Source organism: Homo sapiens, chromosome 21 (assembly GCF_000001405.40).
Source record: "Homo sapiens chromosome 21, GRCh38.p14 Primary Assembly".
Lineage (NCBI taxonomy): Eukaryota > Metazoa > Chordata > Mammalia > Primates > Hominidae > Homo > Homo sapiens.
Window position 1 is genome coordinate 10,536,963 of NC_000021.9, and position 26,660 is coordinate 10,563,622.

The 26,660-nt window shown below is 39.2% G+C and overlaps 1 protein-coding gene across 4 annotated transcripts in view; it reads left to right on the forward strand.

Annotated features, from left to right (window-relative positions):
• TPTE (transmembrane phosphatase with tensin homology) overlaps window positions 1-26,660 on the forward strand; it is an 84,134-nt gene that overhangs the window by 15,380 nt on the left and 42,094 nt on the right. Inside the window, exons 4-10 of one of the 4 annotated variants that reach the window (NM_199261.4) lie at window positions 1,719-1,772; window positions 4,150-4,203; window positions 5,433-5,486; window positions 6,367-6,420; window positions 15,695-15,754; window positions 22,532-22,582; window positions 24,068-24,229. In NM_199261.4, the coding sequence (NP_954870.3) occupies window positions 1,762-1,772; window positions 4,150-4,203; window positions 5,433-5,486; window positions 6,367-6,420; window positions 15,695-15,754; window positions 22,532-22,582; window positions 24,068-24,229 (446 nt within the window). In that variant the 5' untranslated portion in view covers window positions 1,719-1,761. The remainder of the gene's footprint in view (window positions 1-1,718; window positions 1,773-4,149; window positions 4,204-5,432; window positions 5,487-6,366; window positions 6,421-15,694; window positions 15,755-22,531; window positions 22,583-24,067; window positions 24,230-26,660) is intronic. The other 3 variants (NM_199259.4, NM_199260.4, NM_001290224.2) reach the window with 3 other exon arrangements.

Consider the following 26,660-nt stretch of genomic DNA (forward strand, 5'->3'; position numbering starts at 1 on the left):
GGGTTCCTCACACCCAGAGCTCTACCACCATGTGAGGCTAACACTACAAGCCCACACCCATCATCACATTGTATGGGGCAGTTTCTTGACCCTGTGTGAGAGCAGAGAAGACACCTATAATGGCAAAAACAAGGCACTCATGAAGGGATTTTAGTGTCAGGAAATGAGATGGGGTCAAGGGGATTTGTATATAGAAACTGCAGCTGAATTTGAAATAAAGTAAACCATCAAATGCTTAGTTTGTGCTGTATTCAATTGTAAAGAACTAAACATCGCTTGTGAGTAATTCAAACCAGAAAGTGAAGTCCAGAATGTCATATTGGTGTTGGACGATACATATATATATTTAAATTCTGTAGCACTGCCAAGTCTAAATTCAAATCAGTACCCTGGAATGGAGCTGTCAGTGAACTGTGAGACAGAAATAATATAGAGGCTGGCCGTGGTGGCTCACGCCTGTAATCCCAGCACTTTGGGAGGCCGAGGTGGGTGGATCACGAGGTCAGGAGATCGACACCATCCTGGCTAACACGGTGAAACCCCGTCTCTACTAAAAATACAAAAAATTAGCCGGGTGTGGTGGCGGGTGCCTGTAGTCCCAGCTACTCAGGAGGCTGAGGCAGGAGAATGGCGTGAACCCGGGAGGTGGAGCTTGCAGTGAACCGAGATCCTGCCACTGCACTCCAGCCTGGGCAACAGAGCGAGACTCCCCCTCAAAAAAAAAAAAAAAGAAAAAAGAAAAAGAAATAAATCAATATAGATATAAGGATATATGAACAAGGGAGGAAACGATTATATACCATTTATATATACCTATATGCATTCATATTAAATCAAGGCATGCACCCACAGGTACAGCAGAGAAATATAAAGGTTGAGATTAGGGAAGTTCCCATTCAAGGGCATTAATGGAAAAACAAAAAACTTTGACACATGTGTCTGCATGATCTCACTATAGGATATGAAGGTGACTTTATGTCTTGAATGAATTTAGATAAAAGATGACCACATAAAAAGAAGAATGATTTTTCTTACTAGTCTGTTTGATACTCTTGAGTAAAAATAAAAACTAATTTTCAGACTGCCTATATGTGAGACCTTACTATAATGGCTGAGGACAGCAGAGAATCCTCTTTGGAAACAGGAAAGGACAGCAGGGACGGAGAGTAGTGAAGACCTCAGGAGAAGAGAAAAAAGCTAACAACCCTAGAAATGTTTTTGACCCTGCAGAACTCTGCCACAATACAGGGTGGTACTCAAAACCCCAAATACCATCATATTGGATTGTGTGCTTGACTCAGACCTGCAGTTACTTTACCGTACTTGTGGACCAACAGAGACAATCAAGTGAAGAAGTAATGGAGGGCTTTCGAGGCAGCACATTTAGTGGAATAAGAGGGCTGACTACCTCCACACAAAAGTTTAGTTTGAAATAACTGCCACCACAAAGGCTGTCACGCATTGGGACTGAGGTCATAATAAAGAGGTTTATTTAAATCTGAAAGCATTACTATTTTCCCCAGCCTAAGATGTTGGTTGCCATCATATAAATCCTCCTTTTTAATTAAAAAATGACATTTCAGAACCAAATAGTGCTATACACATGAATAGTCAGAACTTAACTGGTTTATGTGCAGATTAATGAAAGCTAGTTTTACCAGAAAAGTAAATTTTGAATTGTGTCTCCTGTCTGACTATATTCTTTTGACATCCTCTAGTCCACCCACAAATGAATTATCAGGAGTGAACCCAGAGGCACGTATGAATGAAAGGTGAGTTATGCGTACGTGTGTCTTTATTTATCGAATTATAACTGAGCATAGAAGTATTCACAGACACAGGCACATAAACAAATATATCCATCCATCCATCCATGCATCCATCCGTACACACTTCTCTCAAACACATCCACTAACAAATCCATGCATACAGTGGAAACATACAACAAGGAGACAGACGGCCGGACATTTGTGGAGTTTATTCTGGGAAGCCTGCGTGGCCATAGAGAGTGGTTTTTAACAGGATTTCCAATTCTTCTCCTAGTAGCCTTTGTAGGTAACATTGCTTCCTTTTCTAACGGAGTGATATAAAAAGGAGCAGGTCATAAGAGAGCTGCTGCTTCCTATGTTAGTGTATTTGTCACTGTTAGTTCCTAGTAAGCAGCAGCTTAAAGGACTCAGATTTCCTGAGTTTGAGAGCCTACCAGATTGACAGAAAGGAGGAGAAAATCCTATTTGCAACATGGAGGAGATAGCAGCTGACAAGGAGCAGTGAAGCCCTGGGCAGAAAAGAACAGAGCTAATGGAACATGGACTTGTCCCTCACACTCCAGAGCTCTGTCAACATATGAGGTTGGTGCTAAAACATAAACACAAGCACACCACCTCATTGGATGCAGCCGTTCCTTAGGCCCACAGCTACTTGCCTGTGTCCCATGGACAGGAAAGACTAGCATGATGGGTGAAAGGAAAGACTTGACGGAGAGATCCAGGAAGTGGGCCATAGATGGGATTAGGAGGAGGAATGCCTACCCAGTGGAGTTGAATTTAAAAGAAATTCACCCACAAAAGGCTGTCTGTCGTGCATTGGCCAGCTCCAGTGGTACAGAGTTTTGGTGAACTCTTGAGTCAGTGAGTCTTAGATAGATGTGCTGCAATCATATAAAGTATGATGTGTAGGGTAAATGGCATGGCAGATTCCAAAGAACCAAATACACACATGACTTCTCTAAGGGTAAGGCAATTTACAGGTTGAAAAGTAGTTGGAAGGTCGGGTGCGGTGGCTCAGGCCTGTAGTCCTAGCACTTTGGGAGGCCAGGGCGGGTGGATAACGAGATCAGTAGTTCAAGGCCAGCCTGGCCAACATGGTGAAACCCCATCTCTACTAAAAATACAAAATTAACCGGGTGTGGTGGCAGGCACCTGTAGTCCCTGCTACTCGGGAGGCTGAGGCAGGAGAATTGCTTGAACCCGGGAGGCAGAGGTTGCAGTGAGCCGAGATCATGCCACTGCACTCCAGCTTGGGTGACTGAGTGAGACTCTGTCTCAAAAAACCAAAAACAACAACAACAAACAAAAACAAAAAACCAAAACAAAAGCAATTGGAATTATTTTGAACTGAAAACCTTAAGTCTAGGAAGTTACATGTTGTCTTAGTATGTACATGTTAACTTCTTTGGCACGGCCCTGTGTGTGAATTGAGAGTACCTTCTAGTAGGCTGGCCAATGCACCATGTGATACCAAGGAATACAGTTATACATGTGTCTATGCATATACAAACACATACATACATGCATTCGTACACACAAGAGAGACTGAGTAGGGCTATTGAGTGTGACAGGCATCCATGGGAACAAGGAGTTCCCTTGAAACTATTTCTAGAGTCCTCTCAGAATGAGCTTTGTATGCAATATTGTTTTGTTTTTTGGATGGAGGTAGGAAAATGGGGAGGAACTCATAGAGGGAGGCTTTTTATGTTAGTGTTTGTCACATTACCTTTCTGTGAGAATGAGACTTTCCTAGTAGCATGAACCAAGGGAGAAGCGAATCCTGCTTGCAGGGAGAAGGAGATAGGAGTGGACAAAGATCAGAGAAATCCCAGCCAAAACAAAGAACAGAGCTAATAACCCTGGAATTATTTCACCCCCTCCAGAGCTCTACCGTTATGTGAGGCTGACTGCCTTTGCCCATACCCACTCTCACATGGGATGGAGCCCTTGCTTGAGGCCTCCAGCTACTTGGCCGCAACTCTTGGGCAGGAGAGACAACTAGGATGGGTGAAAAGTGAGGAGGTGATTGGAGGTGATAGAGAATGAGGAACTCAAATGGGATTATAAGAAGGGAGACTCAGGAACTAAATTTGAACTAGAATTAAATGCTCTCCAAAAATGCTGTTACACCTTGAGGTGTAGATACCCTTACTTAATCTGCATGCATCGCTATGGTCACAGCCTAAAATGCTCACTGTTGGCATATGAAACCTCATTTCTAATAAAAAGACAAATGCCATCCCAGGTCAATTTAGTGATATACATACATGTGAATAATAAAAGTGTAACTGGGGAATGACACATAGACTAACTGTAGCTATTTGTTGCAAAACATTAGAATTACGCATTGGGTCTGACTCTGACCATATTTGTCCTTTAGTCCTGATCCGACTGACCTGGCGGGAGTCATCATTGAGCTCGGCCCCAATGACAGGTGAGTTATAAAAGATGTACACATGACCAGGTGCAATGGTTCACACCTGTAATCTGAGCACTTTGGGAGGCTGAAGCAGGCCGATACCCTGAGGTCGGGTGTTCGAGACCAGGCTGGCAAACATCGTGAAACCCTGTCTCTACTAAAACTACAAGAACTAGCCAGGTGTGGTGGCAGGTGCCTCTAATCCCAGCTACTCAGGAGACTGAGGCAGGAGAATCGATTGAACCTGGGGAAGTGGAGTTTGCAGTGAGCTGAGAACATGCCGCTGCATTCCACCCTGGGCAGCAGGAGCGAAACTGTTGCAAAAATGAAAAAAAAAAAAGATGCACACACACACACACAAAACAGTGACAGAGAAAGAGACCGAGATTAGTGGGATTAACTCTCAGATGTGTTCCTGATAATACAGTGTTTCTTTGACACAGGTTCTTTATCATCTCCCTGTATCATGTATAGATAACTTCCACATTTTTACATTGTTTAGAAAAAAAGAAACTGACTAGAGAGAGAGGCTTCCATCTGTTACTGTCTTGTCACCCTTAGTAAGTAGCAGGCAAATGCTTTGGAAAAGCAGATTTTCTGTGTACCAGACATACCAGAGTAGGCCCAGGGAAGAGAGAATCCTGTTTGGAGTGAGGAGGAGGTAGGAGTACTTGGGGAACTGTGAAGCCTTCAGCAGAAAGCAACAGAGCTATGAGCCTTGGAGGTGTTCACCACCCTCCAGAACCCTGCCACCACAGAGGCTGGTGCTCCAAACCTAAAATCACCATCCTATTGGATTGTGCCCCTGTGTCAGACCTCTAGTTACCTGACCCTTTTTGTGGGACATGAGAAACCACCATGCTGGGTGAACATAAGGAGCTAATGGAGGGCCTTTTAAGCAGGACATTGAATGGAATAAGAGGGCTGACTACCTACAAATTGGAGTTGAGTTTGAAATAACTACCACCACAAAGTCTGTCACACATTGGGACTGAGGTCATAATAAAGAGGTTTACTTAAATCGGGAAGCATTACTATTTTCCCCCGCCTAAGATTTTGGTTGTCGCCATATAAATCCTCATTGCTAATAAAGAGGAAAAGACATTCCAGGTTCCAGTAGTACTATACACATGAATAGTCAGAAATTAATTGGTTTCTGTCTAGAGTAATGAAAGGTAATTTTTCCAAAATATAAATTCAGAATTATGTCTCCTCTCTGACTGTTTTCTCTTATCATCCACTAGTCCACAGACAAGTGAATTTAAAGGAGCAACCGAGGAGGCACCTGCGAAAGAAAGGTGAGCAATAAATAGTTAAAGTCACCCGTCAGCATAAGTGTGCATAGAACTATACACACACAGGCACATGAGCAAGTATACCCCATCCATCCATCCATCCATCCATCCATCCATTCATCCATCCATCCATCCATCCATCCATTCATCCATCCATCCATTCATCCATCCATCCACACGTCTCTTCAACACACTTACACAAACTAATCCATGCACATGATGGAAACATAGACCAAAGAGAAAGGAGACTGGTGGACATTTGTGGAATTTACTCTCAGGAGCCTGCATGGCCATAGAGATTTTTTTTTTTTAACAGAGTTTCCAATTCGTCTCATTGTAGCATTTGTTAGTAACTTTGCATCCTTCTTTGGTGGAGCTCTATAAAAAGGAGCAGGTCGTAGGAGATTTGCTTCTTCCTGTAATGTATTTGCCACCCTTAGTTCCTACTAAGCAGTTTTTTTATGGGACTCAGATTTCTGATAGGAATTCATTGGTTTCTGTCTAGAGTAATAAAAGCTAATTTTCCAAAAAAGTAAATTTAGAATCGCGTCTCCTATCTGACTGTATTCTTTTTTTTTTTTTTTTTTTTTTTTTTGAGACGGAGTCTCGCTCTGTCGCCCAGGCCGGACTGCGGACTGCAGTGGCGCAATCTCGGCTCACTGCAAGCTCTGCTTCCCGGGTTCACGCCATTCTCCTGCCTCAGCCTCCCGAGTAGCTGGGACTACAGGCGCCCGCCACCGCGCCCAGCTAATTTTTTTTTGTATTTTTAGTAGAGACGGGGTTTCACCTTGTTAGCCAGGATGGTCTCAATCTCCTGACCTCATGATCCACCCGCCTCGGCCTCCCAAAGTGCTGCTGACTGTATTCTTTTATCATCCTCTAGCCCACACACAAGTGAATTTAAAGGAGCAGCCCGGGTGTCACCTATCAGTGAAAGGTGAGTTATAAATACATGAAGACACACGTATGCATAAGAGTGCATAGAGCTATACACACACCAAGCACATACACAAATATATCCATCCATCTTCATCCATACACACTTTTGTCAACACATTTACACAAACAAACCCATGCACAAAATGGAAACACAAAACACGGAGACAGATGGACATTTGTGGAATTTACTCTCAGGAGCCTGCATGGCCATACAGAGTGTTTTTTAACAGGGTTTCCAATTCTTCTCATTGTAGCATTTGTAGATAACTTTGCACCTTTTTTTGATGGAGTTGTATAAGGAGGTCAGTTCGTAGGAGAGCTGCTTCTTCCTGTTAGTGTATTTGTCACCCTCAATTTCTGGTAGGCAATTTTTTAAGGGATTCAGGTTTCCTGAGTTTGAGACCCTACCATAGTGTTCCAAGAAAGGAGAGAATCCTATTTGCAACATGGAGGAGATAGCAGCCAATAAGGAGTAGTGAAGCCCTGGGAAAAAAAGAATGGAGCTAATGGAACATGGACTTGTCCCACACACTCGAGAGCTCTGTCCACATGTGAGGTTGGTGCCTAGACCCAGCCCAAACCCACCACCTCATTGGATGCCGCTTTCCTCAGGTGTGCGGGTACTTCACTGTGTCTCATGGGCAGGAGAGACTAGCATGATCAGTGAAAGGAAGGAGGTGGTGGAGGGTTTTCCCAGTCATGTGAAAACCTCTCCTGGAAATAAATCATAAAGGTGTAAGTAATATGGAAAACCTGATTCAAGTTAATTATAGTGTAATGCTCAAGAAACCTTGCAAAATGAGATTTTACAGAAGGAATAAAAGGATTGTGTTTAATCAGTGGCTGATTAAGGAAACATCTAGGTGAGAATTCTGTAGTTGCTCATTAAGCAATAGCATGTGAGTTTTGTATGTAGTATTGATTTTTAAGCCAATAAATAAATTTTTAAAAGAATTTATTTTATAGGACGTTGGAGGCATGGGCGAATTAAAATGTATTTCTATTATTATTGTATTTTTTGAGATGAAGTCTCGCTGTTGCCCAAGCTGGCGTGCAGTGGCGTGATCTCGGCTCACTGTAACCTCCATCTCCCGGGTTCAAGTGATTTTCCTGCCTCAGCCTCCTGAGTAGCTGGGACTGCAGTCATGTGCCACCATGCCAGACAAATTTTTTGTATTTTTGGTAGGGGCGGGGTTTCACTATATTGGCCAGGCTGGTCTTGAACTCCTGCCCTCGTGATCCACCCGCCTCAGCCTCCCAAACTGCTGGGTTTACGGTCATGAGCCATCAGATTGTATGGAGGCCCTGCATTGGGTCTGTAGTTACTTAACCCTATCTGAGGGGCAGGAAAGACATCCATGATTGGTGAAGAGTTACTGGAGGTATTTGAACATGAGAAGGCAGAAAATTACAAGGGCGAGCAAGGTGGGTGTTTACAAACTGAAGTTGATTTTATGTAAATTTTGCCAGAAACAGTAACTTGGGGATTAGGTTTAGGAGTAAAGAAATGTATATAAACTTGATTCATTAAGTTTTTTTCACAGGCCGAAAAATTTCATTACAAACATCTAAAACCTCGTTTCCAGAGAAAAATTAAATACCATGTTTCAAATAAATAACTGATTAATGTCCGTTTTTCAGGGGAACTAGATTATAAATTGTGGAATAATTATTGCTAATTTGTGTCAGAAAATTAAGTCTAGGATAACATGTGGAGTCTTGCTATGTTCATTTTTAATCCTTTAGCTATTACCTCATTGAATTAAAAAGAGTAATGTGTGGTAGAGTCATCAATGATGGGTGAAATTTCAAAATACGGAGAGAAAGAAGAGAGGCATATATTAAGATTGGTAAAATTCATTCACAAATGAAGTAATACAGAACTGCACTTAAATTGTGATTCATTAGTTTGTTTGTTAAGGCCCAGGAGCACCTTTACATAATATAAGGTTTTCTTCTAGGAAAAAATGATATATTAATAGTAGATTCCAAATCATTGACATACACATTTTGAGGATTCAGCCAGTTTATAAATGTAGAGCAAATGTACATAATTTCAACCAGAAAAGTATGTCTCTGAAGTCACTTGACCTGAAGTGTACATTTTTAATCGTTAGCACTGGCCCGGATAAAATGACATCAGTAGTCTTTCACTAATTTGATATATATTTGATATAACTCACCTTTCAATGGTGGTGTCATTGAAAACTACTGACATTATTAATTTGGGTCAGTGCTAAAGGATCTATCTACACACACACACACACATATAACACACATGTATATGTGTGTGTGTGTATATATACAGATATATCTTTTAGCTATATATGTAATATATATAGATATATAAATATGTATTTGTGTGTATATAGATATAGATACACATATCTATATACATGTCTACATATGTGCATATTTAAATGTGTGTATATATATCTATATATACATATCTATATATAGATATATTCTTTAGCACTAACCCAAATAACATCAGTAGTCATGTATATATCCTTTAATATATATATGAGCATCTGTGTATATATATGTAAACATATATGTATATATCCTTTAGCATATATATGTATATATACACATATATAGTTTATATATACATATATGTGTGTGTATATGCAGGTATATCTTGTTTTATTGTGCTTTATTTTATTGCCCCTCAGATATTACTTTTTTGTAAACTGAAGGTTTGTAGCAACCCTACATTGAGCAAGTCTCCTGGTTTTATTTTTCCAACAGCGTGTTCTCACTTTGTGTCTCTTGTCACATTTTAATAATTCTTGCAGTATTCCAAACTTTTTATTATCATATCTGTTATGGTGATATGTGATCAGTGATCTTTGATGTTACTATTGTAATTGTTTTGGGGCAACACGAACCATGTCCATATTAAGATGACAAGCCTAATCAATGACATGTTTGTTGTGACTGCTCCACTGACTAGCCATTCCCCCATCTCTCTCCTTCTCCTTGGGCCTCCCTATTCCCTGAGACACAACAATATTGAAAGTAAGCCATTTAGTAAGCCTATGATGGTCTCTGAGTGTCCTAGTGAAGGGAAGAGTCACATGTCTCTCACTTTAAACCAAAAGCTAGAAATGATTGTGAGGAAGGCTAGACTTCTTGCACCACTTCAGCCAAGTTGTGAATGTAAAACAAAAACAAAAACAAAACAAAACAGAAAAGTCAAAAAACTTCTTGAAGAAAATTAAGACTGCTACTCCAGTGAACATACAAATGTTGAGAAAGCAAAACAGTCTGATTGCTAATATGGAGAATGTTGTAGTGGTCTGGATAAAGGATCAAACCGGCCACAGCATTCCCTTAAGCCAAAGCGTAATCCAGGACAAGGCCCTCACTCTCTTTGATTCAGTGAAGCCTGGGAGAGGTAAGGAAGCTACAGAAGAAAAGCTTGACGCTAAAAGGTTTGTTCATGAGGTTTAAGGAAAGAAGCCATCTCCATCACATAAAAGTGCAAGGTAAACAGCCAGTGCCGATGCAGAAGCAGCAGCAAGTTATCCAGAAGATCTAGGTGAGATAACTGATGAATGTGGCCAAACTAAACAACACATTTTCAATGTAGACAAGATAGCCTTTTATTGGAAGAAGATGCCATCTAGGACTTTTATATTTAGAGAGGAGAAGTCAACGCATGGTTTCAAATCTTCAAAGCACAGGCCAATTCTCTTGTTAGGGGCTAATGAAGCTGGTGACTTTAAGTTGAAGCCAACAATCATTGACTATTCTGAAAATCCTGGGGCCCGTGCGAATTATGCTAAATCAAGCAAGATGGGTGACTAGAGATGTCTGGTGCTCATCTCCCCTACAAGAAAGAACCGAGGCAAGAAATACACATCTGAGATTTGATTAGAGTATCAAAGGGATAGTCCTGGAGTGCAGCAAAGGAGTGGAGACACATCTGTGGTGACTGAAAGTTGCCACAGCATGGAAGCACTCAGCCTGTGCAGCCCCTTCTGCCCCATCTGGATTGAATTGGCCCAGAGACAGGAGGGACTTCTCATTGCAGGGTGAAGGTAGGCAGAAGATCCCCACCAGCCCCACTGCCATCACAAACACAAAGTCTTTACAACAGGAGAATCTCACAGTCTTTGCAAGCCCTCAGGCCAGTTTGGAGTATTGCCAAGAATTGACACAGCTGCATGTCCTGGACTAGGAGTACAAGGTGAAGACTTCCCACCCCCAGAGGCTTAAGCTGCAGCAACACAGCACCATCTGGAGAACAGAGTCATCTCTTGAGTGTGCCCTCCTCTGGGGGCCAGTAGCCACTGTGCCTCTCCAGCACTGGAGCTTTATCTTCAGTACACCAAGCCCACATGGGTGGGTTAAAGCCACAATCCCAGCTGTGTGGAGGTTGGTCCCAGGACTGGCTGTAACTCAAGTAATGCAGAGCAGGGAAATCAACCCCCACCACCACACTTCCAGACAGAGGAATAATCTGCAGTCCCATCCAGGGTAAATTCACTCTTAAGACAGCCAAACCACTACATGCCCTCTCCCAAGTGGGAGAGGCCCCTAAGCCTCTGAGCAGCTGATACACCCACAGGTCAACAGAGTGACTATGAGCCCATGCTCAGGACCTGAGAAACAGCCTTGCGGGCCCCATCAACCACAGACATGCTCCTGGCGTGCCCAGTAGCCCTCTGCTTTTAATAAGGGCCTGAGAAACAGTCCCACAGGCTGCCCCCAGCAGGCACACCACCGAGTGGGCCTTGCACCTGTATCTCAGACCTGAGAGACAAGCAACTGTGTATGCCCAAGTCTCAGGGCCGAGAAACAACCCTGGGAGCTTACTCAGGCCAACTAAGCAGCCATATACCTGTGTCCCAGCTTGAGGAACAGCCCTTTAGGCCACCCCACACAGAAACACTCCCAGGCCAACTAAGCAGCTGTGCAACCTTGGGTGAGCCTGAGAAATAGTCCTGTATCCATTCCCAGCAGATGCACCTCCAGACCAGCCAATCAGCCATGAATGCCCATGTCCTGGACCTAAGAAAGAGCTCCATGGGCTACTCCCAGAAGACATGCCCTTAGGCCAGCCGAGCAGCCTCGTGTCCACATCCTGGCTCACAGAAGTAGTCCCCAGGGCTTCCCCTGGCAGGCACCACCCAGGCCAGCTGAGCAGCAGTGTGCACACATCCTGAGCTAGAATAGCTCTATGGACTACCCCCAGCAGACACATATCCAGGACAGCTGAGAAGTCATTTGACTGTATCCCAGGCCTGAGAAACACCCCTCTTGGCCAGCCCTGGCAAAGATACCTTCAGTCCAGCTTAGCAGCTATGCACCTATATATTTGGTCCATGAGTTTCCCCCAGCAGACTGGCCCCAGGCCAGATGAGCAGCTGTGTACCCACATACCAGTTATGGGAAACAGCCCTTCAGGCCACTCCTGGAGTGCATGCTTCCAGGCCAGGCAAACAGCTGTGTGCCTGCATCCTGGGCCTGAGAAACTGTCCTGCAAAGCACATCTGGAAGTCATGCCCTGGTTGAGCAACTGCATCCCCATGCTTCTGGCTAGAGTGATGGCACCATGGCCAGCGGCATAAAGCCATACTCCAAGTTTTCTGACCCACTCTATGCCTGCACACACCCTTACCCTGAGAAACAGCCCAGTGAGCCCACCCCTGGCAAGGCTGCACCACCATCACTACAAACTTCCTTAACCTAGGCCACTGAGTAACTTGCAAATGTTACTAGTGTGGATCACAGCTGAATAAACTACATGGAGACTACACTTACTGCATCCATGTAGAACCAAGGCCGGTATACCCCAATGAACTGACATCCAAGACCCATTCATACAAATAAATTCATACAATTTTACTCCATAAAATTGGAAAAGGTGACTTTTTCACCAGATGCGTAGAAATCAATTTAGAAACACAGCAACCATGAAAATGCAAGAAAACATGTCACCTACAAAGGGAAATAATAATTATCCAGTAATAGAACCTAATCATAAACATATGATGTGACAGAAAAAAGAATAATCTTAAGGAAACTCAGTGAGATGTAAGGTAATACAGATAGACAAGTCAATGAAATCAGGTGAAAGAGAAATTCAGTAAAGATACAGATATCATAAAAATAACCAAACAGAAGCCCTAAGAGCTAAACAGTTCAATGGATGAAATGAAAAAATACAATCAATGGCTTTACAGACAAGAACAAGCAGAAGAAATAATTTCTGAACTTGAAGACAAGTCTTTTGAAATAACACAGACAGGCAAAAAAAGGATAAAAAAGAATGAAAAAAGCCTACAGGATTTATGGGACACCATTAATTTGGTCAAATATTCATATTATGGGCATTCCAGAAGGAAAAGAGTAGAGAAAATATGAGGAAAACATATTTAATAAAATAGCGTAAAACTTCCTAACTCTTGAGGGAGAGCTAGACATCTAGTTCCAGGAAGATCAAAGAACCCCAAATACATTCAACCCAGACATTATAGTCAAATTGTGAAAAATCAAAAGACAAAGATTTTTTAAAATAGCAAGAGAAAAGTAACACACTTATAATGGAATCCCCATTAGACTAACAGCTGATTTCCCAGTGGAAACCTTAGGCTAGAAGAGAATGGGATGATACATTCGAAGTTCTGAAAGAAAAAAATCTTTCAGCCAAGAATATTATAGCCAGCACAGCTATCCTTTACAAATGAAGAAGACATAAAATCTGTCATAGATAAACAAAAACCAAGATAATTCATCACCACTAGACCAACATTACAAGAAATGCCCAAGGGAGTCTTACATCTGGAAGTAAAAAGATGATAACCACCATCATGAAAACATGCAAAACCTCCTCACCTACCAATAATAACTTTGAATGTTAATAGATTAAATACCCCATGAAGGATATAGACTTACTGAGTGGATTAAAAAATAAGACCCCACTATATTTTATCTAAAAGAAACTCACTTTACCGGTATAGAAACACATAGACTGATAATAAAGGGATGGAAAAATATATTCTATGCAAATGGAAGCCCAAAGTGAGCAGGGATAGCTATACTTGTATCAGACAAAACAGAGTTCAAGTTAAAAACCATAAAAATTGACAAACAAGATTATTATGTAATAATAAAGGGTTCAATTCAGCAAGAAATATAATTGTAATATGTGTATAATTGTAAATATGTATGCACTCAAACACCAGAGCACCTAGATATATAAAGCGAATATTACTAGATCTAAAGAGGGAGATAGACCCCATTACAATAAGAGTTGGGCACTTCCGTATCCCACTCTCAGCATTGGACAAATCATCTAGACAGAAAATCAACAAAGAAACATCAGACTTAAACTCCACCATAGACCAAATGGACATAAATAACAAACATGTACAGAACATCTCACCTAACAGCTGCAGAATACACATTCTTTTCATCAGCACATGAAACATTATCTAAGATAGACCATATGTTAGGCTACAAAACAAGTCTCAACAAATTTTTAAAAATTGAAATTCTATCAGGTATCTTATCTTACCACAATGGAATAAAACTAGACATTCATAACAAGAGGAACATTCAAAACTATACAGACATATGGAAATTAAACAACATGCCCTTGAGTTACAGTGAGTGAAGAAAGAAATTAAGAATGAAATTTAAGAATTCCTTGAAACAAATGTAACTAGAAACACAATATACCAAAACAGGGGACGCAGCAAAAGCAGTTATTAAGAACTATGTTTTTAGCTTCATCCGTGTCCCTACAAAGGACATGAACTCATCATTTTTTCAGCAAACTGTCGCAAGGACAAAACACCAAACATCACATGTTCTCACTCATAGGTGGGAATTGAACAATGAGAACACTCAGACACAGGAAGGGGGACATCACACACTGGGGCCTGTTGTTGGGTAGGGGGAGGGGGGAGGGATAGCATTAGGAGATATACCTAATGTAAATGACGAGTTAATGGGCGCAGCACACCAACATGGCACATGTATACATATGTAACAAACCTGCACATTGTGCATATGTACCCTAGAACTTAAAGTATAAAAAAAAAAGTATATTTTTAGCAATAAATGCCTGGATCAAAAAAACTAGAAAACTTTCAAATAAACCACTGAACAATTCTACCTCAAGAAACTAGAATAGTAAGAACAAACCAAACCCCAAATTATTAAAAGGAAATAAATAATGAAGACCAAACAGAAATAAACACATTTGAGGCAAAAATTACAAAAGGTTAACAACAAAAAGGTTTAAAAAATATCAACAAACCATTAGCTAGACTAATTAAGAAAAAGGGAAGACCCAAATAAGTAAAATCAGAAACAAAAAAAAAGAGACCTCATAACAGATAATGACAGAAATAAAAATAATTATTAGAGACTATTATGAGCAACTCTACAATAAATTTGAAAACCTAGAGGAGGTGGACAAAATCCTTGACCCATACGACCTACCAAGACTAAACCAAGAAGAAATAGAAAACCTGAACAGACCAAAAACAAGTAATGAGATTGAATCAGTAATAAAAAGGCTTTCAACAAAGTCCAGGACCTGATGGCTTCACCACTTAATCCTCACTTGTGAAAGGAAGAGCCATTTGCTACAGCAAACTTCATTGTTGTCCTATTTTAAGAAATTGTCTCAGCCACTCTGACCATTGGCAACCACCACTCTGATCAGTCAGCAGCCATGAACATGGAGGCAACGCCCTCCACCAGCAAAAGGTGATCATTAGCATTTTTTAACCAATAAAGTAGTTTTTAATTAAGGTATATACATAAGTTTTTCGAACATAATGCCATTGCAAACTTAACAGGCTACATGTAGGGTAAACATAACTTTTATATGCACAGGGAACCCAAAACATTTGTGTGAGTTGCTTAATGCAGTTTTTGCTTTATTGCAGTGGTCTGGAATGAAACCCACAATGTCTTTGAGATATGTCTACACACATATTATTTATATATTATATATCCATATACATATTCTTTTATATATCTTTATATGCATATATATAGAAAGAGACAGAGAGAGAAAAGAAGATAAAAATATGCAAAATTCAGTGTTGGGAGTATCCATGAGGAAAGAGTTTCTGGTTAATGATTGTAATTTTCTCTCTTAAATATTAGGTCTTCCAGTGAGCTAAGTCATGTTTACTATATCCTTTAGATTCATGGGATTCTTGCTATTCAAATATATTTTTCATCACTATTTTGTGTAGCAAATATCTAATGATATATTTTTGCTTTTTTTTTGGTGGCTAAAGTGTGTTAGCACGACTTTCCAAGTTTGAAGTTGAAGATGCTGAAAATGTTGCTTCATATGAGTAAGTCAGTTTGAAGTTTGAAAGGAGGGAGCCATTGATGGATCTCTTATCTTTAGTTAAACAGGGCTTCCGCTGAGGCAAGAAGGAAAAAGGGAAACTATGGAAAGATATCAAAATGTATGGGTGGGAGTGTACACCGTATTTACTCCAGTTGAATTCTTAGACAAGTATTATTTTGAAAAAAAAATTCCATCCATTCAGAAATAAATGTTCTTCTAGCTTGAAAATGTAAAAAGTATTCTTAGAGGAAATTAATTCCATTAAAAGTTTTTTTTAAAAAAACAGGAATGCAGAATGCTACTTAACTCATCAATAGTGAACGTTTCTCATTTTTACTAGATATGGTGTGATTCCCAATTTTGTACATTTTGCCTATGAGCAAATAGTATTGATAGCAAAAGCAAACATATTTTGCTGACTAAAGACCTCTTTATGCTCATTGGGATTTTATTCTTATTTGTTTCTAATCTCACTAGAGTACTTCCTGTTGCACTGACCTGAAGGCATTTTATCATGTACTCACTGTAATGAAACAATACATTCTTAAACTGGCTTGTGTCTGAACTGCAGACATATTCAGGAGATTTTTCTTCTGCTTCTTTCTTGCCCAGTTGTATAACCATTCACCAGCTTGTGTCAATGCTGGAGAGGAAGTACTGCCATAGAGGAAGTTAACTCACCATGGTTGTAAGCTGTTGGTGTCTAAACAAAGAGGGCAAATAAAAATAGTTCTTCAAATTACCCTGAATTTGCCACTGAATTAAACTGTGTGTCTGCAGATTAGCTATACGTTTTCTGTAATGGAGCTGCCCAGGGCTGAAACAAAATTAGACCGATTAAGCAAGGCAAGCATTTCCTTCTTTCCCCACTCCAAACAAAATAAAGCAGGTTTTCATTTTATTTTATTTTTAAATTACAAAGTCTCATTACATAGATATAGGAGGAATTTGCAGTAGTCCCTGTGAGAAATGCTGGTGTTTCATAACAGGGGGATGATATTGGATTTATAGTAAAAGCTGGAATCAGTGCTTGCCTTTGGCATCATATATTCATTCACCTGATACTCAGCAAGTCACTAACCCTCTTTAACTTTCAGATTATTCAAATGTAAACTGGCTATAATGCAATCCATGTACTGGATATTGTATTTAAAAAATTAGTAATAAAATGAAAATAACATGCAAAAATACTTTGAAAACTCTGTAGTTCTGTAAATAGGTTTTATTCTAAAAACTAAAAATAATGTAAGAGTTCATTAAAGGAAAATCTGAAAATACAATCAACAAATCTACCCACATTTAGTCATTCTTAAACTTTGATGCATGCACTTCTAAGTTCTTTAAGCATATACTTTTTTTGTTTACAGATATGAGACCATACTTATTCTTTTGTAAATAACCTTATTAATGACATCATGGCTATATTTTTTTGTTAATATATATTCATGTGCACTTACAACATTATTTGTAACAGTTGTGTGATATTTCATGGTGTAGATGTGCTATAATTCATTTAATAGTCAGATATTGCTGAACAATTCAGTTTTTTTACAAGTTTTTAACTTACAAAAATGAATATATTTGAGGCTAAATCTCTGTATATTGTTGGTTATTTGCTTGTTATAAATTCTCAGAAGTGGAAATTCTGTGTCAAAGGGAATGATTGTGACGCTATTGATATTGATATGTGCTTTAACATCAAGATGCAAAGTGTACATTTCTCCCCTCCCACACTTAACACTAGCCATCATTGATTTCTCTGATATTAGTAAATATATTTGTTCTAATGCATGTTCTTTGACACACCTTCATTTATCCTTTTCTGTCTTTGGACTGAAAAGTTAAATCTATTGATCCTTTTTCTATTTTATGTAATATAAGCAATTTCTCCCAGGTTGTCTTGCTTTTCACTATATAAAAGCATTTAATCCTCATGTAATCAAATGTATCTGTACTTTTCTTTGTGATTTTGCCTTTAATGTTATTCTCAGAAAGTCCTTCTCACCCCAAGATTTTAAATATATTCACCAAAATTTCTGTTTTGAATTTATTTTCTTCATTTAAATAAAATATCTGCCCTGAATTTACTTTGTCTTAAGGTATAAAGTGTAGAAATTTACTTTTCTCCTAAGTGACTCATAGTTTTTTCAGCATGAACATGTCATCCCTCTGTATTGTCCTTACCCTGTTTTAGTGATCTAGAGTGAGCAGGAAGACCAGAGTCACTACAGTGTTTTTCGTGCTTTGCATCATGGCCACCTCCCTACCCCCAGAGTCTGCACAAGAGAAAAATGTGTCCAGTGGGAGAGATAGCACCTGCCTTCAATACAAATCCCATTTCATTAAACATGGTCTTGTTAGTGTCATGTAGCTTCCACCTTCTATTGATAAAAAATGAGTCATTCATGTTCATAGTTAATATTTCTGCTTTTAATTCAACTTTGATATTATTGGAACTTTCAGTGTATTAAGGTTTAGTATCTCATATCTTTTTTTCTCTCTTTTTTTTTTGAGCCGGAGTCTCGCTCTGTCACCAGGCTGGAGTGCAGTGGCTCCACTCAGCTCACTGCAACCTCCACTTCCCAGGTTCAAGCGATTCTCCTGCCTCAGCCTCCTGAGTAGCTGGGACTACAGGCATGCACCACCACGCCCAGCTAATTTTTTGTATTTTTAGTAGAGATGGAGTTTCACCACGTTGGCCAGGATGGTCTCGATCTCTTGACCTCATGATCCACCCACCTTGGCCACCCAAAGTGCTGGGATTACAGGCGTGAGCCACCGCGCCTGGCCGCTATCTCTTTATTTTTGAATTGTCATTTAAATTTAGTTTTTGTCTCTCATGTATAGCATGTAATGCCTTTAATTTCAAAGTTATCTGAGAGTATTTCTCAATATGCAATATGAGAGTAATATGTTTGTATTTATGATTTCTGGTACGTTTGGTTTTATTTATCATCTTTTTCTTTATTAAAAATACTTTGATATTTTCTTTGTAAATTTGTCTATGTTTTGCTATTATCTGATTTGTTTTCATCCCTTGCATTTTTTGTTGATATGCAAGTCAGAAGCCCATTTCTAGTCTATCAATGTTTATATTTAAATGTTTAGAAAACATAATTATACCATTTTTTCCATCAATATCGAGAATAAAACTGGACTCGTACCTGTGAAAGATAAGAAATGCAACCTGCCTTTACTTCTATCTTCTTCCACACCTTGAATCCTAGTGTAAGAATGCCTAAAAATTCAAATCAATACTATTATTCATGATTTTATATTATTTATCTTTACTTTTAGAATCATTTATTTACATTTTCACCTGCTACTTTTTTTTATTATTATTATACTGTAAGTTCTAGGGTGCATGTGCACAATGTGCAGGTTTGTTACATATTCATGCATGTGCCATGTTGGTGTGCTGTACCCATTAATTCATCATTTACATTAGGTGTATCTCCTAATGCTATCCCTCCCCCATCCCCCCACCCCATGACAGGCCCTGGTGTGTGATGTTCCCCTTCCTGTGTCCAAGGGTTCTCATTGTTCAATTCCCACCTATGAGTGAGAACATGCAGTGTTTGGTTTTCTGACCTTGCGGTAGCTTGCTGAGAATGATGGTTTCCAGCTTCATCCATGTCCCTACAAAGGACATGAACTCATCCTTTTTTATGGCTGCTTAGTATTCCATGGTGTATATGTGCCACATTTTCTTCATCCAGTCTATCATTGTTGGACATTTGGGTTGGTTCCAAGTCTTTGCTATTGTGAATAGTGCCGCAATAAACATACGTGTGCATGTGTCTTTATAGCAGCATGATTTATAATCCTTTGGGTATATACCCAGTAATAGGATGGCTGGGTCAAATGGTGTTTCTAGTTTTAGATTCTTGAGGAATCGCCACACTGTCTTCCACAATGGTTGAACTAGTTTACAGTCCCACCAACAGTGTAAAAGTGTTCAGTTTCTCCACATCCTCTCCAGCACCTGTTGTTTCTTGACTTTTTAATAATCACCATTCTAACTGGTGTGAGATGGTATGTCATTGTGGTTTTGATTTGCATTTCTCTGATGGCCAGTGATGATGAGCATTTTTTCATGTGTCTGTTGGCTGCATAAATGTCTTCTTTTGAGAAGTGTCTGTTCATATCCTTTGCCCACTTTTTGATGGGGTTGTTTGATTTTTTTCTTGTAAATTTGTTTGAGTTCTTTGTAGATTCTGGATATTAGTCCTTTGTCAGATGAGTAGATTCCAAAAATTTTCTCCCATTCCGTAGGTTGCCTGTTCACTCTGATGGTAGTTTCTTTTGCTATGCAGAAGCTCTTTAGTTTAATTAGATCCTGTTTGTCAATTTTGGCTTTTGTTGCCATTGCTTTTGTTCACCTGCTACATTTTTGTTCTTCATTTTGATTCATTGCTCAGCTGACTCAAGCACTTTGAGTAATTGTTTTTAGGAAAGGTACATGGAGGCTATGCTTCGTGTTGCTTCATGTTGGAGTGTCTGTCTGTTGCTCCCGAGTGTGAACAGTACTTTTCCTGGATATGGATTTACTGAGTCATAGTTATTTCCCTGCAAACTCTGCACATAACTGCTTGAAGCTTCATTTACATAGTACTCTTTTTTTAAGCAAAAAAGTCTCAATTGTGTATTTACTTGGTATAGTTTCAGGGTACACTGAAACAGATTAAGGGGCTAAAGCCACCCAAGCCACTTCTTCATGCCTTCATAATCTGTCAGACTTGGTTCTGTATGGTGACATTGTCAAGTGAGTTCAGATTTATGACATTTCCTTGATACCCAGAGATCTAGTAGACTGTGTGGGATCAGAGGTTCTTGTAGTAAGGGAATGGCAACTTGAGGAGAGAATTCACCTCTTTTGGCCAATTGATCCTCCATCTACATCAGCCTTAACTCTCCAAGCCTGGGTGGAGGTGGTGGGTCCAGGTGGAGAGGGGAAGATTAGAAGGATTGGGGATTTCTTTTATCTCAGGTTAACCTAACATCCTTCATCAAAGGCCAATTTTTTTTTTTTTAACTTTTATTTTAGGTTTGGTGGTACACGTGAGGTTTGCTACATAGGTAAACTTGTGTCAGGGAGGTTGTTTTTTTTTATTTTTTACATATTATTTCATCATCCAGGTATTAAGCTCAGTACCCAAATAGTTATCTTTTCTGCTCCTCTCTCTCCTCCTGCCCTCCCCACTTAAGTAGACCCCAGTGTCTATTTCCTTCTTTGTGTTCATAAGTCCTTATGATTTAGCTACCACTGATAGGTGAGAACATTCAGTATTTGGTTTTCTGTTTCTGCACTAGTTTGCTAAGGATAAGAGCCTCCGGCTCCATTGATGTTCCCACAAAATACATGATCTCATTCTTTTTTTATGGCTGTATAGTATTCCATGGTATATATGTACCACATTTTCTTTATCCAATCTGTCATTGATGGGTACCTAGGTTGATTCCATGTCTTTGCTATTGTAAATAGTGCTGCAGTGAACATTCATATGCATGTATCTTTATAGTAGAATGATTTATATTCCTCTGGGTATCTACTCAGTATTGGGATTGCTCAGTCAAATAGTTCTGCTTTTAGCTCTTCAAGGTATTGCCATAGTACTTTTTACAGTGATTGAACTAATTTACACTCCCACCAACAATGTATATGTGTTCCCTTTTCTCTGCAACCTTGCCCGCATCTGTTATTTTTTGACTTTTTAGTAATAGCCATTCTGACTGGTGTGAAATGGTATCTCATTGTGGTTTTGATTTGCATTTCTCTAATCTGTGATATTGAGCTTTTCTTCATATGTTTGTTGGCCACATGCATGTCTTCTTTTGAGAAATGTCTGTTCATGTCAAAGGCCAATTGTCAGTGCCCCAGTTCTGCTCAGTATCTGCCCTCTTTGTTCTCCCGTCTTAGGCACAGGCTGTGAGCATTGTCTTAGGATTCATGGCTCTTGGGGTGGAATTTGAGTCCTGTGTTGGAGGCTTCAGTATGACAGAAACTTCCTGAAGTCTTCTTCTACTGAAGCCTCCTGTGTTGGAGGCTTCTCCTCCTGAAGAGCCTCCAACACAGGAGGCTTCAGTAGGACAAAAAAAATTGTTCCTCATGAGCTACCTTGTCTCCAGCCATAAGGTAAAATGAGGCATTATTGGAGGCTCCATCAAACAGGTTCTCCTTCCTTTGATTAATGGAAGGAGCCCAGTCTTTCGGGTGTTTCTCCTTTGAAGTATATCTTACTAAAATGTCTTACCTCTGAAGTTCGTTTGCAACCTCATATGTGACTCATCTGTTCACTAGGTGTCTAGTTCGAGGAGATGACAAGAGCATCATTTACTCCCTATGCTCATTCCTGAAACACCTTATTTTATTGCAGTGGAAACTGAGATCTGGCCAAAGTTTGATGATTTGCCCAGGCTGGCATTAAAATACAGTTCTCTTCTACCACCCTTTTCTGTCTTCATGCTATACTCCTTGAGATGATGACCACCAGTTTAAGTTTAGTATTGCCATAAAGTTGGGGTTGGGGCTTTGCATGCAATGGAAATGTTACTAAACATCCAAACTTTACTGTCTTCTGGATAGCATAGTAAACAAGTAAAATACTCATGGAGCAGGAAGAATAAAATTTTAGCTATTAGTAAAAAGCATTTTGTTATACAACTTCTGAATAATTTTCTTTTGAAATTATATTTATAAGGGCCTTTGTTTTTTGGTTAAATTTACAATATATGTTAGAAGAAATCTGATTAATTTTATTTTTACTTCTTTTTGCAGCAGCAAGATTAAGAAAATTGTGCATTCAATTGTATCATCCTTTGCATTTGGGTATGTGAGACATAGAAAACACCATGTATTAAATATATCTGAGACTTGGCTGGGCACGGTGGCTCACACCTGTAATCCCAGCACCCTGGGAGGCCGAGGCGGGCGGATCACATGAAGTCAGGAGTTCAAGACCAGCCTGGCTAACATGGTGAAACCCCATCTCTACTAAAAATACAAAAATTAGCCAAGCATAATGGTGGGTGCCTATAATCCCAGCTACTCAGGAGGCTGAGGCAGAAGAATCGCTTGAACCGAGGAGGCATAGATTGCAGTGAGCTGAAATTGCACCATTGCACCGCAGCCTTGGCGACACAGCAAGACTCCATGTAAAAAAAAAAAAAAAAAAAAAGAAAAGAAAATATATGAGTCTCATATATATCTATATATACATATATATATATGAGACTTAATACTTCAATGAGAAATACTGAAATAAAATAACAAAAAAGCATTTCCACTGTCCATCAGTTGCTAAGTAGCCATGTGCCCCATCTAATGTAATCTAATTTATCATGGAATTTTGGTTTAAGCTGGACATTAAGAATTGCAAATAAATGGCTTTTGCCTAAGATTAATTGTAATATATTAATATTGTTTTTCTTCCATCTGCAAAAGTAACATTAATGAAAATCAAATGTTAAAATTCTATAATTATTAGTAAAGTGTTTTATTAGTACCTTATACATCAGGAATTACTCTTTAATTCTGGAAACAATTTACTTAGACTCTTCTCTACATAAGAGTAAGATTTCATACTATGATATAGATTTATACGATATAATTGTTTCCTTTTGAATTAATAATATTTGAATTTGAGCTGCAAGTTTTTAAAAAAGTACTTCAAAGACTAATTCACCTTTATAGACTAGGCAAATAGTCTAATCAATTTATGGAGAATGTATTTAGAATATGTAACAGCAAGTGGCAGGAGGTACTTTAGAGTTCAAGACTCATGTGCCCATCACTCTGCTAGAAGCACCCATAAATATGAAATCATGTACTTGTTGAAAATGTCACTGATGAAAAATCTTGGTCTTTTAAGAGCTTATGTTACTCATGCTTTCATTTGGTTTTTATTAATAAATTCTTTAGAATTATCCAGATTAATGAGGGTTTATTTTTTATGAGAAATTGGTATAAACTTCTTATGAAATTCGCAAATTTTAAGAAGAGTTTGTAAACAGACAGGTGATTTTAATTCAGTTTTACTTTTCTCTCTTGAGGTGTTGGTCTGATGTGTTTACTATAATATCTTGTGAAGTGGTTTGGTGAGAATTTTGTTTATTAAGAACTGCTTCTATTGGGTGAAAACAGTGATTTTTCTGAGATTCTAAGGCATTACAGTTTTTCCTGCCACTGGGCAGCTTAATACTAAATAATAACATTTTGGTACCTGATCAGTGGCTTAAATATAGTATAGCTACAGGGACAAATGCCCCTTTATCTTTGCATTTATTTATTTATTTATTTATTTGTTTATTTTAGACTATTTGGAGTTTTCCTGGTCTTACTGGATGTCACTCTCATCCTTGCCGACCTAATTTTCACTGACAGCAAACTTTATATTCCTTTGGAGTATCGTTCTATTTCTCTAGCTATTGCCTTATTTTTTCTCATGGATGTTCTTCTTCGAGTATTTGTAGAAAGGTAAGTTTGATTATTTTTATAATGCATTAAGCTACTTTGTAGTTTTATAAGAAGCACTTTCGGAGGCTGAGGTGGGAGGATCCCAAGGTCAGGAGTTCGAGACGATCCTGGCCAACATGGTGAAACCCCGTCTCTACTAAAAATACAAAAATTAGCTGGGCATGGTGGTGGTTGCCTGTAATCCCAGCTGTTTGGGAGGCTGAGGCAGGAGAATCGTTTGAACCTGGGAGGCAGAAGTTGCATTGAGCCGAGATCATGCCATTGCACTCTAGCCTGGGTGACAGGGTGAGACTCCATCTCAAAAAAAAAAAAAAAAAAGCATTTTAAAATAATTAACGGGAGCATTCACTACAAACTGACTTAAGAGCCTTTGGGCCTTATGAGAACATTGGTGGTAGTCTGGCAGTACCCCCCCCATGTCCTGTGTTTGAGGTGGCCATGGATTGATGCTCCTCTGCCTTTGGACAGGGGTGGAAAGAGTGGGAAGGACTGCATCTTGTGGTTTGAGTGACAGCTCAGCCATAGCACAATAAAACACTAGGTAGACTTTTACAGTTTTTGATCTAGGCCCTGATTCCCAGACAGCACCTGTGGATCCACCTGTAGGCTAGGAGAACTTGCCATCCTGAAGGCAAGGACACAGGCCTGGCTGTTTTTACGATGTGATGACTGTAGAGCCCCAGGGCCTTCAGTAAACTCCTGCAATAGCTAAGGAGTGGTTACAGCAGGTCTTGGGCAAGACCCCGTGCTGTGCTGGCCTCAGGTCTGACCCAATGCAGTCACAGTAGTGGTGGCCACAGAGGTGCTTATGTCACTCAACCCCAAGCTTTAGGTGCCTCAGAACAGAGAGAGAGACTCTGTTTGTTTGGGAGAAAGTAAGGGAAGAAAACAAGAGTCTCTTTTTGGTAATGCAGAGAATTATCCTGGATCTTGTCCAAGACCATTAAGGCAGTACCACTATGAGTCTGCAAGAACCAGAGTTTAGGAGGCTTGGGGTGCCCCCTAAAGCAGATAGAGATTAGATCACAGTATCCAAGTTCTTTCAAATATCTGGAAAGCCTTCCCAAGAAAGATGGGTACAAACAAGCCCTGACAGTGAAAACTACAATAAATACAGTGAAAACTACAATCAATACCTAACTCTTCAATGCCCAGACACCAAAGAACATCTGCTAGCATCAACACTATCCAGGAAAACATGACCTCACCAAATGAACTAAATAAGACACCAGGGGCCAATCCTGTAGAAACAGAGATATGTGACCTTTCAGACAAAGAAATCAAAATAACTGTGTTGAGGAAGGAAACTCAAAGAAATTCAAGATAACACAGAGAAGGAATTCATAATTCTATTAGATAAGTTTAACAAAGAGATTGAAATAATTTAAAAGAATCAAGCAGAAATTCTGGAGCCAAAAAATGTAATTGGCATGCCGAAGAATGCATTAGAGTCTTTTAATAGCAGAATTGATAAACCAGAAGAAAGAATTAATGAGCTTGAAGACAGGCTATTTCAAAATACATAGAGGAGACAAAGGAAAGAATAAAAAACAACGACGCCTGCCTACAGGATCTAGAAAATAGCCTCAAAAGGACAAATCTAAGTGGTATTGGCCTTAAAGAGGAGGTGGGGAGTGTAGAAAGTTTATTCAAAGGGATGGTAACAGAACATCCCAAACCTACAGAAAGATATCAATATCCAAGTACAAGAAAGTTATAAAACACCAAGCAGATGTAACTCAAAGAAGACTACCTCAAGGCATTTAATAATCACAGTCCCAAAGATCAAGGATAAAAAAAGGATCTTAAAAGCAGCAAGAGAAAAGAAACCAATAATATACGATGGCGCTACAATATATCTGGCAGCAGACTCTTTAGTAGAAACGTTTCAGGCCAGGAGAGAGTGGCATGACATATTGAAAGTGCTGAAGGAAAAAAACATTTACCCTAGAACAGTGTATCCAGTGAAAGTATCCTTCAAAGTGAAGGGGAAATAAAGACTTTTCCACACAAAAGCTGAGGGATTTTGTCAACACCAGACCTGTCCTAGAAGAAATGCTAAAGGGAGTATTTCAATCAGAAAGATAAGGACATTAATGAGCAATAAGTAACAACCTGAAGGTATAAAACTCACTGGTAATAGTAGGTATACAGAAAAATGCAGAATGTCATAACACTGTAACTATGATGTATAAACTACTCTTACTCTAAGTAGAGAGACTAAACTATGAGCCAATGAAAAATATTAACTACAACTTTTCAAGACATAGATGGTATAATAAGATATAAATAGAAATAACAAAAAGTTAAAAAATAGGGAGACTAAGTTGTAGAGTTTTTATTAGTTTTCTTTTTACTTGTTTATGAAAACTTATTATAAGATTAAAATAATGGATTATAAGATAGTATTTACAAGCCTCATGGTAACCTC